Source organism: Homo sapiens, chromosome 6 (genome assembly GCF_000001405.40).
Source record: "Homo sapiens chromosome 6, GRCh38.p14 Primary Assembly".
In the NCBI taxonomy this organism is placed as follows: Eukaryota; Metazoa; Chordata; class Mammalia; order Primates; family Hominidae; genus Homo; species Homo sapiens.
In genome coordinates, this window is record NC_000006.12 from 37,254,047 (window position 1) to 37,270,178 (window position 16,132).

The 16,132-nt window shown below is 41.0% G+C and overlaps 3 protein-coding genes across 20 annotated transcripts in view, besides 5 other annotated features; 1 reads left to right on the plus strand and 2 right to left on the minus strand.

Moving 5' to 3' along the window:
- The window catches only part of TMEM217B (transmembrane protein 217B), a 45,964-nt gene extending 41,866 nt beyond the window's left edge, over positions 1-4,098 (minus strand). For 2 of the 3 annotated variants that reach the window (NM_001395378.1, NM_001395377.1), the window contains exon 1: positions 3,522-4,098. The gene's annotated coding sequence lies outside the window, so the exon portion shown is untranslated. Of the gene's footprint in view, positions 1-3,516 lie in introns of all 3 variants that reach the window. The other variant, NM_001395938.1, reaches the window with a different exon arrangement.
- Positions 1-4,098, minus strand: part of TMEM217 (transmembrane protein 217) — a 45,964-nt gene extending 41,866 nt beyond the window's left edge. For 6 of the 11 annotated variants that reach the window (NR_172517.1, NM_001395242.1, NM_001395243.1 and 3 more), the window contains exon 1: positions 3,522-4,098. The gene's annotated coding sequence lies outside the window, so the exon portion shown is untranslated. Of the gene's footprint in view, positions 1-3,516 lie in introns of all 11 variants that reach the window. The other 5 variants (NM_001395241.1, NM_001395238.1, NM_001162900.3 and 2 more) reach the window with 3 other exon arrangements.
- Positions 3,557-3,686: a silencer, noted in NCBI's record as "silent region_17135". NCBI's record gives its function as "represses an Ori minimal core promoter by ATAC-STARR-seq in GM12878 lymphoblastoid cells {active_cell/tissue: GM12878}" and the evidence as "EXISTENCE:reporter gene assay evidence [ECO:0000049][PMID:35858748]".
- Positions 3,726-16,132, plus strand: part of TBC1D22B (TBC1 domain family member 22B) — a 75,199-nt gene continuing 62,792 nt past the window's right edge. For all 6 annotated transcript variants that reach the window (NR_130108.2, NM_017772.4, XM_011514738.4 and 3 more), the window contains exons 1-2: positions 3,726-3,927; positions 15,548-15,604. Coding sequence is in view for 5 of the 6 variants with exons in the window: in NM_017772.4 (NP_060242.2) it covers positions 3,872-3,927; positions 15,548-15,604 (113 nt within the window). In the remaining variant the exon portion in view is untranslated. The remainder of the gene's footprint in view (positions 3,928-15,547; positions 15,605-16,132) is intronic.
- Positions 3,787-3,846: an enhancer, noted in NCBI's record as "active region_24454". NCBI's record gives its function as "activates an Ori minimal core promoter by ATAC-STARR-seq in GM12878 lymphoblastoid cells {active_cell/tissue: GM12878}" and the evidence as "EXISTENCE:reporter gene assay evidence [ECO:0000049][PMID:35858748]".
- Positions 3,947-4,006: an enhancer, noted in NCBI's record as "active region_24455". NCBI's record gives its function as "activates an Ori minimal core promoter by ATAC-STARR-seq in GM12878 lymphoblastoid cells {active_cell/tissue: GM12878}" and the evidence as "EXISTENCE:reporter gene assay evidence [ECO:0000049][PMID:35858748]".
- Positions 4,093-4,728: an enhancer, noted in NCBI's record as "H3K27ac hESC enhancer chr6:37225915-37226550 (GRCh37/hg19 assembly coordinates)". NCBI's record gives its function as "activates a minimal SCP1, AML or CMV promoter by ChIP-STARR-seq in naive H9 embryonic stem cells {active_cell/tissue: H9 hESC(naive)}" and the evidence as "EXISTENCE:reporter gene assay evidence [ECO:0000049][PMID:30033119]".
- Positions 10,335-10,835: an enhancer, noted in NCBI's record as "H3K4me1 hESC enhancer chr6:37232157-37232657 (GRCh37/hg19 assembly coordinates)". NCBI's record gives its function as "activates a minimal SCP1, AML or CMV promoter by ChIP-STARR-seq in primed H9 embryonic stem cells {active_cell/tissue: H9 hESC(primed)}" and the evidence as "EXISTENCE:reporter gene assay evidence [ECO:0000049][PMID:30033119]".

The following is a 16,132-nucleotide window of genomic DNA, read 5'->3' on the forward strand; positions in this document are numbered from 1 at the left end:
AAACTCTTGAGATAAAGTAAACAATCACAGGCCATACTGTATTAGTAACAGAAGATCTATAAAGTGAGGTCCATGGATCAGCAGCATCAGTGTCACCTGGGAGCTTGTTAGAAATTCTGAGTTGTAGGCTCCACCTCAGACCTCCTGAATCAGAATCTAGGTTTTTAATATAATCCTCAGTGATTCACATGTGCAATATAGTATAGGAAGCACTGGTCTAGTGGACCAGTGAATGTCTGCCAAGAAGGACCTCCATCAGAAGGCCTCTAAGGACCCCTTGGGAACCTCAAACCAATGATTTACACCTCTTGCTGGGCAAGGGTGGCTGCCATACCTATCAGCCCTTTGATGACAGCTACCAACTGATCTCCTGACTAGGTGGGTGGCCTCCCTCCCTCATCATTCCAGGTACAGGCACATTCCTTTGAAGCTGCAAAAGAGTTTGAAGAATACAATCTTTCTCAGAGAAGACTGTTCTTCAACCAAGGATGTAGGCAAGGATGTAGAGTCATTGGTAAAGTGGACACATCCTACTAGGGGTTAGGAAACACTGTTTCTATCATCTTTCCTAACATAAAAATATGTGAACAACATAGAATCGAAAGACAAGAAATATTTATATTCTTCCTTCTTTCACTCAGTAAATATTTACTAAGCACTCACTATGTTCCAAACACTATTCTAGGTGCTGGGGATACAGCAGGGAACAAAACAAAGTCCCAGTCTTAGTGGGGTTCACGATCTCTAGGGCAGTAGTCCCCAACCTTTTTGGCACCTGGGACCAGTTTCAGGGAAGACAACTTTTCCATGAAAATTTTGGGGGAGGGGGGTTAAAGGATGAAACAGTTCCACTTCAAATCACAAGGCATTAGATTCTCATAAGGAGTGCGCAATGCAACCTAGATCCCTTGTATGAGCAGTTCACAATAGGGTTCAAACTCCTGTGAGAATCTGCTGCTGCTGCTGATCTGACAGGAGGCGGAGCTCTGGCAGTAATGATTGCATGCCCACCCGCCACTCACCTCCTGCTGTGCGGCCTGGTTCCTAACAGGCAACAGACAGGGGGCCTTTACTCTAGGGGATGGAGATGGACAACAAACAAGTACATAATATGGCCTGTAGTGATAGCGCTTTAAAGAAAAATAGAGCCAGGCAATAAGACCAATGGGCATGGCTGCAGCAGATTAAGCAAGAAAGAAAGCATAATGAGATGAGACTGGAGAGGTGAGTGGAGCCAAGTCATGTAGGGTCTTTAAGGAGCTTGGATTTTATGCCAAGTACAATGGGGGCCATTGCAAAGTTTTCAGCAGAGGAGTGACATGATATCGTCTACATTTTAACAGGGTGTCTCTGGGCAGGGTGCGATGGCTCCCACCTGTAATACTAGCTCTCTGGGAGGCCAAAGGTGGTGGATTGCTTGAGTTTCAGGAGTATGGGACCAGCCTGGGCAACATGGTGAAACTTCATCTCTACAAAAATACAAAAAATTAGCTGGCCATGGTGGTATGTGCCTGTTAGTCCCAGCTACTCAGGAGGCTGATGTGGGAGGATTGCTTGAGCCCAGGAGATGGAGGTTGTAGTGTGCTGAGATCATGTCACTGGACTCCAGCTTGGGTGACAGGGCAAGACCTGGTCTCAAAAAAAAAAAAAAAGGTCTCTCTGGTTGGTATATGGGGAATGGACTCTAAGGGGCTAAGAGTGGAAGCAGGGAGCCGAATAGCAGGCTGCTGTAAGCAGGTGTGTGGTTGGTGAAGATTAGGGTGACCAAGTGGTAGTGGTGAAAAAGGTTCCAACAATCTCAATTTCCCTATTTAAAAAGTCATCACAAGGTAACTGATGTGAATTTTTAAAAAATCTTGGAGGGGAAACTGATATAGAAAACAAACTGTAGAAATAACAGGGCTTTTCTGGGTTGAGCACTGTTAACTACACCCCCTGGGAATCAGTGTCATTTAACATTTCATAGAAGATTAAGAAAAAGGAGTATTTTGAGATATGTCTAGATACACAAATCATACTTTGCTTTCCACATAGTAAAATGTCAAATCAATAGGGAGCAGCTTCTGGAACATCTCTAAAGCCATGTGCATAAGCTGGAAAGTGGCAGGTATCTTGTCACATGGATGAGTGTATGGCAGCTCACATAGGGAAAGACAATTCAGAGGATACCTTTAAGACAATGAACTCTGAACTGCTGGTTGCCACCAAGGTAAGGAATCTAGAAGTTGTTTTAGATTACTCTTTCAAGACATCAACTCTTCTAAAGTCCAAACAGCCAGCAAAAGGTCTGGCTGTCCAGAATAAAGACAAAACATCAGCCTTAACAAAGCCTCAGTACATCCCTCTTTGGGCTTAGTGTGCAGTGCTGGTCACTGCATCCTAAGAAAAAGAAGCGCCAGAGAAAGGCAAGTAAAATAATTAAAAGAATAGAGGGGCTTTTTTTCTCTGGGTTAAATGCCCATAAAGAAGATAAGATGCTTTTATAGCATGAAAGACTCAGAGGAAGTAAAAATAGCCCTTGTCATCCAATCCTATAATTCTTAAATTAGGGGACAAAAGAAGCTTGAAAATGGGAGTAATGAAGAAACCGTCGTTGGAGGACATATAAAAGAAGGTCCTTCTTTGGCTGGGGCCAGGGGTCAGGTCTTTAAGTATTCTCCAATATGTGGAAGTACATGTGGTAGCTGTAAATGGAGGGTGGGGGTGGGGGTGGGGGACACGCAGCCCACCTCAACAGTCCTTCGAAGGGACAAAAACCACTCTGGACTGGTGCCCGCCTTCCCTCTTTCCCCAAATCACCACGGAATACAACCACAGAAACTCAAAACCAGCAAAAAACGCTGACAAGACATTCAAAGGATTCAAAATGCTAATACTAAATCTCATTGTCTGGGAAAATTAGATTGAAAATAAATTCAAGGGTGCAAGATTTATAATAGATTAACAAGGGAAATTAAGGATGTTGGTGGGGCCGGGAGGAGATACATCCTTAACTTTGTGATTCACACGATGGAGCAATACTGTGTCCTTCAAAGAAATGGTATTTGGTAATCTGAGTTGGACAGCTATCATAAACCATTTCCTATATACACTGTTAGCATAGTCAGAAAGTGAGAGTTATGGATTGACATAGGGATTAGATCATTTGAATTTTTAACCCACAGCACAAGTCCTTCAATCGTTTTCAATAAACAGAGGGAGAGGGAGACTCTGATGAACCGTTGCTCACGTGTTGAACAGTTAGCAATCCCGGGCTATCGGGTCCCTGCTGACCTTCCTTCAGAAAAACGAATGGACATGTAAACGGAATGAGGAAAGGAGGGTAATAACCAGAGTGTCATTGAATTGAGAGATGTTAAAAATGGGCCACAACCAACACATGGGCCCTTACTTTTAGGTGAAAGATTCCTATATATAAATACATAGTATGTTCTCTCTTGCCAAGAAATATTAGACTAAGGAACTTCATTCCTCACGAAGAAGATAATCCCCTCTTCCTTCCCATAGGTCCCTTACCTTACCTGCTTCTTCCCTCTCGCGGGTAGGAACTTTGAGCCCCGCCTCTCGGCTCGTCCAAGCTCCGCCTTCCCCGTCCACCTGTGTGCCCAGCCCCTGACGTTACCGGTCGGCTTCAGCGGCCTGCAGGATTCCGGCTCCCAATTGGTCGGCCCGTCCACGGCTTGCGCAGCTCACCAATGGCAGCGGTGCTGGGTGGAGGGGTGCCCACATCCAAGATGGCGTCCCCAGGAGCTGGGAGCGGGTGACCGGCGGCGGGGAAGCGGCCTGGGTTGGCCCTCAGATTGCGGGGTCTGGGGGCATCTCGCCGGGCAAACCCTTGGCCCGCCTACAAGGACTTCCCCCGGCCAGAGCAATGGCCGCTGAGAACAGCAAGCAGTTTTGGAAGAGGAGCGCTAAGCTGCCGGGGAGGTGAGCCCAGGACGCTGAGAGGGATAGGGGATTGGACCAAACCCTTCCAGATCCTAATCCCTGAATCCCGCGGGCCTGGGGCGCCACAGAGGCCAGAAGACTGGTTTGGGGAAGCTGGGACTGCCTGGTGGCGGCAGGGCAGCTGTCAGGCAGCGAAGCGAACAGCGAGCTTTGGGGACGGCTGGATGTGGGTGTAGACCGGGGTCTGGGGGCGGAGGTTTCAGGAGGGGTGACCTCAGCGGGAAGGTGGCCGAAGATTGGGCGTAAAGGGGAGTGGAGTTGGGTGAATAGTCAGTGTCGGCCCTGGTCTCGGAAGTTCCTCCCCAGAGCTGCTTCCCACTCTAATTAGGACTCCCTCTCAGGGGTCTCCACCACGCACAGGTGGTTGGTCGCTCGAGGATGGCCCCTTCCCTTGATCCCTGAGGTCGGCACTTACCCGAAGGATTCCGGTGGGAGTTTGGGGCCGCCTGCCGAGAGGGTTAGGCAGGAAAAGTGAGGACGATTCTCAACCCTGACCTTACTTTATCTTGAGTTGGCCCTTTCCCACTAGGAATTATTACAAGACGACCACAGAATCAGGGTTATTCCTTTGGCATTTTCTAAGGATTTGTCCAACCCCAAGTGACTTCTTCCTCCCCTGCATTGTAATGCACTTCTTGTGCAAATGCACTAAATTCGTTCATTCTTCAGTTGTTTAACTGGAGAGCAGACCCCCTAAGACTACCCCCACCCTCTTTTCGGTGTATGTTGAGACTTTTGGCAAATTATCCATCCATCAATCTACTGTTGGTTTACTGTTTCAGTTTATTTTGGGCAAAGTCCTGAGAAGTATAAGGAAGAGTGTGTATTTCAGTCGTAAATTTAAGATTTCTGCCAGCTACAGTCTACTTGGTGATGAAATTCATGTTTGGTTGTGTCCCCTGTGCTACCTTTTCTAATGGATTCAGGTTTTTTCCTTCTGGGATAATCTTTTGAACTCGTGACTTTTTTTTTTTAAGCGAGAGAGAGATGAGGGTCAGTAGTGGCTAGGTAAGAGCCTTAATTTTTTTTTTTTTTTTAAATGAAATAGAGACAAGGTCTGACTGTGTTGCCAGGGCTGGTCTCTGACTCCTGGCCTCAAGTGATCCTCTTGCCTTGGCCTCCCAAAGTGTTGGGATTACAGGCGTTAGCCACCATGCCCCACCAAGAGTCTTATTTTATTAAGGATTCTAGTAGACATATGGAGAATAGGGTGGAAATCAGCTTTTAGTAATACTTATTAAAGTAATAGAAAGGAATGCAAAGATAACTTCAGATTAAAGTGCTGTGGACTCAACAGTGTTAATATTACTGTTAAAGATGTTCTGTGTTTTTAGGTAAGCACACTTCCTGCCAACTGATTCCTTTTCCTTCCTGGTCTAGTGAGCTCTCTAGTTGTGCTAACTGCTATTCTCTGGGGTTTTCCGTAGTGAGATCATTAAATTTTGACATCCTAAGATTATAATCATAATCAATAGGAAGACTGTTGTATCAGGAAGCAGTGTAAGAGATGTGGGACGTGGCATGGGCTTCTGTGCCTTCTGACTGCTGGTTGCTATTAACAATCTTTTTTTCCTATATTTCCTGTATTTGGCTATAAGAACAGTCAACTTTTTTAAAGCACTACTTTTCTGAGATAGGAAGAGAAGTCTTTTCAGTTTCTTCAAGTTTCTGGATTCCTTTTTCATTTTGAAGAATATAGAGAAATAGAGAACTTTCGAGTTCAGAAAGACTTGGGTTACTATTTGGGCTCTGTTGTGTGTGTGACCAAGACAAATAATCTTTCTAGGCCTCAATTTCCTTACCTATGAAATGAGAAATAAAAATACTTTCCTCAGAGTTACTGTGGGGACTAAGTGAAATACCCTATTTGTAAAGAGCCTAGGACAGTGTTTATTTAGCACATTATAGTTGCTCAAAAAAACAGTAGTTATTAACATTGCTGTCATTATTACAGCAAGTAAACATTTAAAATAATGTTACTCAGATCCTTACCCCAGCTCATTGTCTTCGTTGTTTAAGGTATTCAAATATTGTCACAATTCATAATAGTTTTTAGTACCTTACTTGGTAAAGAGAAATACTGTTCAGCTGTGTGCTTTTAGCAGTGAAGCCCACAAGCCTCTGGTCATAGGAGAAAACTAAGGTTCTTTTAGATAGAAAGGTACTTTGGTTTAAAGAAAATGTTAGGGCATTTTCTCAAGAATAGAACTTTTGCATCTGTACTCTTTCGGTCTTAGAGAAGAAAAACTTTCTCCTGGGTGGGGAAATGACACAAATGACTCTACTGGATGCATGCAAACTTGGAAATGAAACTAGTTTACTCTTCTTTGCAAATTGAAAGGTGAAAAATAAAAGCGATGACAGGGTTCTTTCCATTTGTCTGATCATGATCCAACAATCTTAGTGACAACAAATAGAAATTTTATTAAATAAAAGAAGTTGCAAATGAATGAAACATTCTTTTTAAAAATAACAGCTTTATTGAGATATAATTCACATACCATAAAATTCACTCTTTTAAAGTGTACAATTCAGTGGTATTTAGTATATTCATTTATAGTATAGATGGTTTTGTGCAACCATCACCACTAATTTCAGAACATTTTCATCATCCTGAAAAGAAACTACATACCTGTTTACAGTCACTCCCCATCCACCCCACTCCAGACCCTGGTAACTACTAACCTACTTTCTGTTTCTGTGGATTTACCACTTTTGGACATTTTATATATATGGAGTAATATGATCTGAGGCCTTTTGTGAGTGGCTTCTTTTATTAAGCACAGTGATTTCAGGCTTGTCCACGCTGTAGTATGTATCAGTACTTCATTCCATTTTATGGCTGAATAATATTCCATAGTATACATACACCACATTTTGTTCATTCATCAGTTGATGGATATTTGAATTGTTTTCACTTTTGGGCTATTGTACGTAATGCTTTTATGAACATTTATGCAGAGGTTTTTGTTTGGATATATATTTTCTATTCTTCTGCTGATAAATAGGAGTGGAATTGCTGGGTCATGTAGTAACTTGGTGGAACTAAGCATCTTTTAAGTTCTCTCAGTTATTCACATGAGCCCCATTTACTTAGCACATCAAATGGTCATTGTATTAATGCCTAGAAGATAAGAGGCAATCTCTACCATTGCAGGCTTTGGCAGGTGTGGTGGCCTGTAATCCCAGAATTTTGGAAGGCTGAGGCAGGTGGATCGCTTGAGGCCAGGAGTCCGAGACCAGCCTGGCCAACGTGGTGAAACCCCCCATCTCTACTAAAAATACAAATTAGCTGGGCTTGGTGGTGTGTGCCTGTAGTCCCAGCTACTCAGGAGGCTGATGCCCAAGAATCTCTTGAACCTGGGAGACGGAGGTTGCAGTGAACTGAGATTGCGTCACTCCACTCCAGCCTGGGCAACAGAGCAAGAGATTGTCTCCAAAAAAAAAAAAAAAAAAAAATGCAGGCTCTGAAATCTGACTGCCTAGGTTAAAATCCCAGCTCTGCTTTCTAGCTATGTGATCTTATGGGATTTAATTAACCTCTCAATGCATCAGTCTCCCCATCTCTAAAATAGGGACAGAGTATCTGCTCCATGGGGCTGTTATGAGGATTAAATGAGATAATACATAATAATTGGTTAGGAGGTACACAATAATATTAGCTATTATAAGAAGGATAGTTACGATGATAGTAGCTATCATTTTTGTTTTCTCTCCTTGCTTCAGTTTTTGAAACTGAAATTGAAAAGCTTTGATCTGGTTGGGTGTGGTGGCTCACACCTGTAATCCCAGCACTTTGGGAGGCTGAGACAGGTGGATCATTTGAGGTCAGGAGTTCGAGACCAGCCTGGCCAACATGGTGAATCTCCGTCTCTACTAAAAACACACAAAAAAATTATCTGGGCTTGGTGGCACAAACCTATGGGGGAAAAATAAAAAAGCTTTGGTCAGTGTGTGTGTGTGTGTGTGTGTGTGTGTGTGTGTGTGTGTGTGTGTGTGTGTCTAGAGCTCGGGCACAGGAGAAAAAAAAAATCACCTTTTTTTTTTTTTTTTTGAGATGGGGTCTCCCTCTGTTGCCCAGGCTGGAGTGCAGTGGCACGATCTCAGCTCACTGCAGCCTCTACCTCCCAGGATTAAACGAGTCTCCTGCCTCAGCCTCCTGAGTAGCTGGGATTACAGGCACATGCCACCATGCCCAGCTAATTTTTGTATTTTTAGTAGAGAAGGGGGTTTCGCCATGTTGGCCAGGCTGGTCTTGAACTCTTGACCTCAAGTGATCTCTTGACCTCAAGCCCACCTCAGCCTCCCAAAGTTCTGAGATTATAGGTGTGAGCCACCGTGCCCAGCCCTGGCTAATTTTTGTATTTTTTGTAGAGACAGGTCTTGCCATGTTGCCCAGGCTGGTCATGAACTCCTGGGCTCAAGCAGTCTGCCCACTTCATCCTCCAAAAGTGTTGGGATTACAGGCATGAGCCTCTGCGTCTGGCCAAAATCGAAATTACCTGAGTCTTCCAGGCCCTTCGTTGTTAGAAAGAGAGGCCAAGTTAAGAACTTGAAGCCGATCCTAAAATAATAATGAATCTGATAGGAGACTTAGTGTAAAAGTCACAGCCTGTCTGGGCAGGTACATTACAACTTGTTCTTGGCTTGGAGATGTTTTACTGGTAGAGTGAGTGACTAGAAGATACTAAATTATCATCGAAACAGCATAGATCACCTGTTCTGGAAGACTAATGTGGAGTGAGTGTGTGAACCTACATCAGTTGCCAACACGTTTGGCATTTAAATTTGATGGGTCTTTTTCCCATATTTGCACTAGCTCTTTTATCAGTGCTAAACAAACACCTGTTGATTTTTCCTACCAAGATGTTTGCACTGTTTCAACTAGGCAAAACAGCTATGTCAATACATTCTATGGTGTTGGTTTTATTAAAGAGAGTGACGGAGATTAATCAGAACTTTTGTTCCATTTTGTCTGCGTGGCAGCATATTCCATGGCATTCTTTTCTCTGCATATGTGGTGTGATTTCTTCGAGATGCAGTGTGTTAACTAACCTCTGGTTTTTAGGTCTAGCTTAAGTGGAGGCCTAGGTTTTGTAGAGATCTAATCTTCACTTACTAAATATTGTTAAGTGCCTGCTGGTATGTGTCATGCTCTGCCAGGTGGCAAGGGGGCTACAGAAAAAGATATGGCACCACTATGGCTTTCTAGGAGCTAAAAAATCTGCTTGGCATCATGGCTTCCCCTGGAGAAGATGCTGTGTATGATTGACTTTCTGGTTTTTCCACTAAACATATGTTATATTTGTAATCAGACAAACTTAAAAGTGGAATTGGGTGAAAACACATTGTTGAATGCAAAGAGCAAGATGTAGAAAGATATGTGCAATGTGCAGTCTTTTATGTGAAGTTTAAAAACATAAAAAATACTGTGTGTTGTTTATGGATCTGTGAATATATGTAGAGGAATAAAAACAGATGGGAGGAGTTCCCTCCAATTTCAGAATAATTGTTATCTCTTGGGAAGTGAAGAAACAGGACTAGGGACTGCAATTAGGGCATCAGTAGTCTAACACTTTGTTTTTGTTTTGTTTTGTTTTGTTTTTTTGACATGGAGTCTTACTCTGTTGCCAGGCTGGAGTGCAGTGGCCCGATCTCCGCTCACTGCAACTTCCGCCTCCCGGGTTCAAGCGATTCTCCTGCCTTGGCCTCCCGAGTAGCTGGGACTACAGATGCGTGCCACCACACCCAGCTAATTTTCTTGTATTTTCAGTAGAGATGGGGTTTCACCATTTTGGCCAGGATAGTCTTGATCTCCTGACCTCATGACCCACCCACCTTGGCCTCCCAAAGTGCTGGGATTACAGGCGTGAGCCACTATGACCGGCCTAACACTTTTTTTCTTAAATGAAATGTGACAAATGTTAACATTTGTAAATCAGAGTGATGGGTTTGTGGATGTTTATTATATCATTTTCTGTACTTTTCTTTGTGTTTGAAAATGTCAATTAAATGCTTTTTCACTTGTGTTAGAGCAAATGTTTTGTATTTTTTTTTTTTAACTTGTGTTGGAGAGATCAGCCAGTTAGCCATGGAATTAAGTAAAATTTAAAGTAACATGATTTAGAGTCAAAATAAGTCATATTTACAGTGTGATGTTATTTATATAAAGTTTAAAAAACATGCAAAATCATACATTATTTAGGGATACATACATAGAAAATAAAAATATAAAAATGAGTGTGAAAAATGCCAGATCCAATAGAGTGGCTTGCTAGGAAGGGAGGGAGGGGTATGCCAGGGTGTTTTGTTTTGTTTGGTTTTGTTTTGTTTTTGACACGGGGTTTCACTCTTGTTGCCCTGGCTGGAGTGCAATGGCACGATCTCGGCTCACCGCAACCTCTGCCTCCCAGACTCAAGCAATTCTTGTGCCTCAGCGTCCTGAGTAGCTGGGATTACAGATGTGTGCCACCAAGCCCAGCTAATTTTTATTTTTAGTAGAGATGGGGTTTTGCTGTGTTGGCCAGGCCAGTCTCGAACTGCTGGACTCAAGTGATCTGCCTGCCTCGGCCTCTCAAAGTGCAGGGATTACAGTGCCCAGCCCTGATTGTGTCTTATATTATGATCTAAATCTAGTTTATTTTTAAAAAGTAATATAAGCCCTAATTTATGTATGTTAGGGAACTAGAGAAGACATGAGTTAGTAGATGCTGGGGGTAGGGGTATGGAAAGTTTCATGAGGGGTGTAGAATTTGAAGAGAATGTTGCAGGATGGATACAATTTTGAAAAGGGATGTAGAAAATAGAAAAGCATTCCAAGTAGGGAAAAGAGCCTTATTTAATAATGGGTTTAATAAGTTTGGAAGGTGGAGTGGAGATCAGTCTTTCTTAGAGCTGAGTTTGGGTTTGGAAGGAGTAGGTATGGTACAGACAGTGAAAGGTGAATTATAAATGTCAGGAAATTGAGCACCTTAATCATTGGGCTCTTCTGGTCTATCTCCATTTAGTCTCTGTGATCATCTCGGTTTCTCTTTTCTAAATTCTTGCCTGTCTTTTTTAAGCTGCAATAAGCTGATTTATTATACAAAGTGTTCCAGTTTTAGATACATCATGGTTCAGTTCAAGAATATGTTAACAAATTCAATTTGGGCCCTGATACCTTTGCTGATGAAGTCCATCATTTATCTTAGCCTTCCTGGCTATGCCAGCACCTTGGGCTGACAGCTTTAAAAAATAGTCTACTGTGATTTTAAGATTCCTTTCCTAGATGGTAATTGATGGCCTCTGGCCCTTCAGCCTGCACAAATTAGGTTTGCTTTTCTTCTGCATGGGTTACTGGCAGATGGTAATACTTCTTTAAGGTAATACTCTCTTATTTTTCTACCCAGTCACCTTACCTAACCGGCCTGTTGAGATCTTCCTGCAGTTTATCCTCTGATTTTATATTTTATTGTGAGGAGGGCTTGTGGGCTTGAAGAATTCAGGTGTACTCTTAGATTATTTGCAGCTGCTAATGTGCATATCAGTAGCCCTTTGGGTTTTTTTTTTTTTCCCGTGGTCAGTGGGGGTGTCTAACACCCCCTTCCTCTCTCAGCAGAACTTTCCCTTTACTCTTTGATTCCTCTTTTTTTCTCTCTGCCTAGGAAACCCTTTAAACACATCAATTAGTATTGTTTTCAAAGTTTGTATTTCTGTAGTAATATATGTAATAGTTTGCTTACACATTACTTATTAATCTTCCAGAGAGGTTTAGGGAGTAAAGATTCTTATAGCTAAAGAAGTAGGGACTGTATTCATAAATTAAAGATTATATGTAAGATTTCCTCTGAAATCTTAATAGGAATCAATGTGAAAGTGATTGATTTGGCTATATTTTTATTTAAGAGCATCCTTTAGGATCACCTCTGTTATGTGAAACAAGTATTTGGTAAGCTTGTTTCAATTTCTAAATGTTGAGTATGGATTAAATTATAAAAATGGGAGGGAGGAAGAAAATCAACATTTCTTGGGCACTGAGTGTTTGCTGGGTAGTGTTCTAACATTTGCAAATCTACGTCACTTCCTGCTTAACATTAAATTAGCATTACCACCCACCAGGAATTGTGCTAAAGGGCTTTCAACATATCGTCCCACTTAAACCTTCTAACCTTCTCAAGATCGCTTATTTCTTATAAAGGTGATACTTGTACATGATACTAAATCAGAAAGGGTTTGCAGTGAAAACTAAGTCTCTTTGGTGTCCCATCATCTTCCAGTCATCTGGTTCCTATTCCAAACTGCTGCTACCAGTGTCTTTTGTATTCTTTCAGATACTCTGATATTCTTTCAGATACATAGACCTAATCATACATAAAATGCATGTATCTATTTTAAAGATTTTTATAAAAATGGTGTCATACATGTAGTTCTGCATCTTTTTTCAATTAATGTCTGAGTTTATTTCATGTCAGTGAATATAGAACTGCCTCATTCTTTTTTTTTTTTTGAGACGGAGTCTTGCTCTGTCCCCCAAGCTGGAGTGCAGTGGTACAATCTCGGCCCACTGCAACCTCCGCCTCCCCAGCTCAAGCCATTCTCCCGCCTCAGCCTCCTGAGTAGTTGGGATTACAGGTGCCTGCCACCATGCCCGGCTAATTTTTGTATTTTTTAGTAGAGATGGGGTTTCACCATGTTGGCCAGGCTGGTCTTGAACTCCTGAGCTTAGGTGATCTGCCTGCTTTGGCCTCCCCAAGTGCTGGGATTACAGGCGTGAGCCACCGCACCTGGCCAGAACTGCCTCATTCTTTTTAAAAGATATACTGTAATTTATTTAACTACTTTCCTGTTGGTAATTATCCTTTCTATTTTAATAGGTAAGTTAGCTCCTTTATATTTATTGGAATAACTGATATATTTAGTTATTTAGTTTAAGTTCAATTTTTAATATTTTCTTCGTCTTTTTTTTTTTTTTTTTTTTTTTTGAGATAAGGACTTACTCTGTTGCCCAGGCTATAGTGCAGTGACACGATGATAGGTCACTGTAGTCTCAAACTCCTGGGTTCAAGTAATCCTCTCACCTCAGCCTCCCAAGTAGCTAGAAGTACAAGCATGCACCACCACAGTTGGCTAATTTTTAAATTTTTTGTAGGTACAAGGTCTTGCTACGTTGCTCAGGCTGGTCAAACTTCTAGCCTCAAGCAGTTCTCACACCTCAGCATCCCAAAGTCCTGGGATTACAGATGTGAGCTACCATGCTTGCCCTTTTAAAAATATTTTCTTCTTAAAAAAGTCTTTCACTATGTGGACTGTGCTTGCTTTTGAGGGGAGGACATACATATATATATATATATACACACACACATATATAATATATATATACACACATATATAATATATATACACACATATATAATATATATATACACACATATATAATATATATATACACATATAATATATATACACACATATATAATATATATATACACATATATATAATATATATACACTATATATAATATATATACACTATATATATAATATATATATACACTATATATATAATATATATATACACATATATATATACACACACACATATATATATTCTGATAATTTGGAAGATTTATCTTTTTATTTTAGTGATTGTGTTTATAAGTGTAACTTTATACCATATTTCTTCAGACAGTACCTGTTGGCTCCCTACCATGAGTAATGATGAAATTAGTAAGTATATTTCCTCACCCCTCTCTTCCCACCTGCTTCTAGTTGATTATATTATTTTTCTTGGTTTTATTTTCTGTCGTAAAACATCCATATTCGTCTATTAACATTTGCAAATCTACATTAGGATTTAATGTTAAACAGGTAGTGACATAGATTTGCAAATTGAGCTATCTGCTTTAAATATCTTCTGAGCCCTGTCAGTAAAAGATGAAGAAGTCAATGCACTTCATTTGTCCATTTTTTCCTCCTTTTAACATTTGCCAATTATATTACTTTGATGTTCTCTTTGCCTCAAATGTAAGACCTAGTCATAAGGTTGGATCTGTTCAGGGCTCTCCACCAATCCTTTTGCCATGGTTTCTCCATCTCATGATTAGTTGAAGTTTGTTCTCTCACAGCTTCTTCAGACAGGTGTTAAGGAACACATTTTCCCTGAGTTCTTACATGTTGAAAAGTAGTTTTTTTTCACTTTTATACTTAAACAATAGTTTGGCTTGATATATACTTATTCTTGAATCATTTATTCTCATTTTCTTTCTTCTCTCCCTTCTCTTTCCCTTTTCTTTCCAACAGGGTCCAGGCTGGAGTGCAGTGGTGTGCTCACTGCAGCCTGGACCCTCCTGGGGTCAAGCGATCCCCCCGTCTCAGCCTCCCAAGTAGCTGAGGCTACAGACGTGCAGCACCATGCCCAACTAATTTTTTATTTTCTTGTAGAAACAGAGTCTCACTTTGTTGCCCAGGCTGGTTTCGAACTCCTAGGCTCAAGCAGTCATTTTGCCGTGGCCTCCCAAAGTGCTAGGATTACAGTTGTGAGCCATCCCATCAGCTCATTTTCTTTTAATTGTGATACATGACCGAAAAGCACATGAAGCACAAATGTGTGGTATGATGGCTTAATGAATAATCACAAAGTGAACACCCCAGAAACTTCTGTGTCTATTTGCTGTTTTCTCCTTTCTTTCCTCCAGAGAGAACTATATCCTTTTATGTCATTTACTCCTTTCTTTCTTTATAATATTACTCTGCATGCATTCCTAAACAGTAGAAACTACTTTTGTCAGTTTTTGAAGTCTATATAAGTCGAATCATAACAGTATTTATTCTTATGCTTTACTTATTTGTTCAACATGACATTTGTAAGATCCATCCACATTGTTACTTGAAGCCCTACTTCACATATATTGTCATTGGTGTATAATGTTCTGCTATATAAACATATTGCAATTGATTTCTCTTGTCACTATTGATGGACATTTGGGTTATTTCTAGTTTGGGGCTAAGACGAGCCATGGTGCTTTGAATAGTCTTATATATATCTCCTAATACATATATGTATATATTTATCTTAATATGCATATTTGGGAGTGAAAATACTGGGTCTTAGGGTATGCATATTTCATTCTTCCTAGATATGGCTAAATTATTTTACTTTATACCCCTCCTGCAGTGTGTGAGTTCCTTAGGTCACCCTTCACTGTCTTTTAGCCCAGTGAGCCTTTCAATTAGGCAATATTCCCACTTTAGATGAGAAAACAGGTTCAAAGGAGTCAAAAAGCTTGCTGGAAGTTCATGGTGGTACTGAGTGCCAGAACTGGCATTTGAACTCTGCTCTCTCCAGCTCTAAAGCCCGTTACCTTTCCATCCTGCCTTCTTTACACATAGGACATCCTGACAGGTGTGTAAGGCACTGAAACTTCACCAGGGAAAATGAACATTATCAAATATATTTTTTTAACGGGTAGATTGCTCTCTTTGGGGGATGGCTTGAGTACAGTTATTAGAGATAACCTATTTATCAAAGTCTCATCCAATTTTGTGATGCAGATGGCACTTAGCCAACATATTTAGTTTCCTAACTAAACTAACTATTTCTTCCTTTTGTTTTTGCTTTTAGCATTCAGCCTGTATATGGAGCACAGCATCCTCCTCTTGACCCACGGCTCACCAAAAAGTAAGTCAAGACATTTTCGTTTTATCTATCTACTGCTGTCACCCCTATACCCTCCCCTATTTTGTTGAAATGACAGTTTCCACCTTGACATTTTTTAGCGTCTCTTCTGCCCTATTTTGGACCAGGAGATGAGCAATGTTCTTACTTCCAAATGGTCCATTGCTAAATGGGAAATTAACTCCCATTAGAGATTTTGTGTTTTCCTATATTGGGAACTGGTATATGTAGGGTTTGGTATTGGATTCTTTGGTCAAAAGAGAATAGTCAAAAGGTCTTTATTGATTAAATGTTGTCCCTGAAACCAGAACATTGATGACCTCCAGATCTTTTAGCAGGAGATCTGGTTTCTGAGGCTCACTGCTTCTGAATATAGATAGGTCTGCCACCTTTTCCTCACTTTTACTATGAGAACTAGGGCAACAGAATATAACTGTAGGCTGGCATTCTTTAGTTCCTCTTTCCCTTTGACACACTCAAAGAGACCCAGGCATATGTACAGTAGAGTTAAAAGCTATTTAGGGCTGGGCA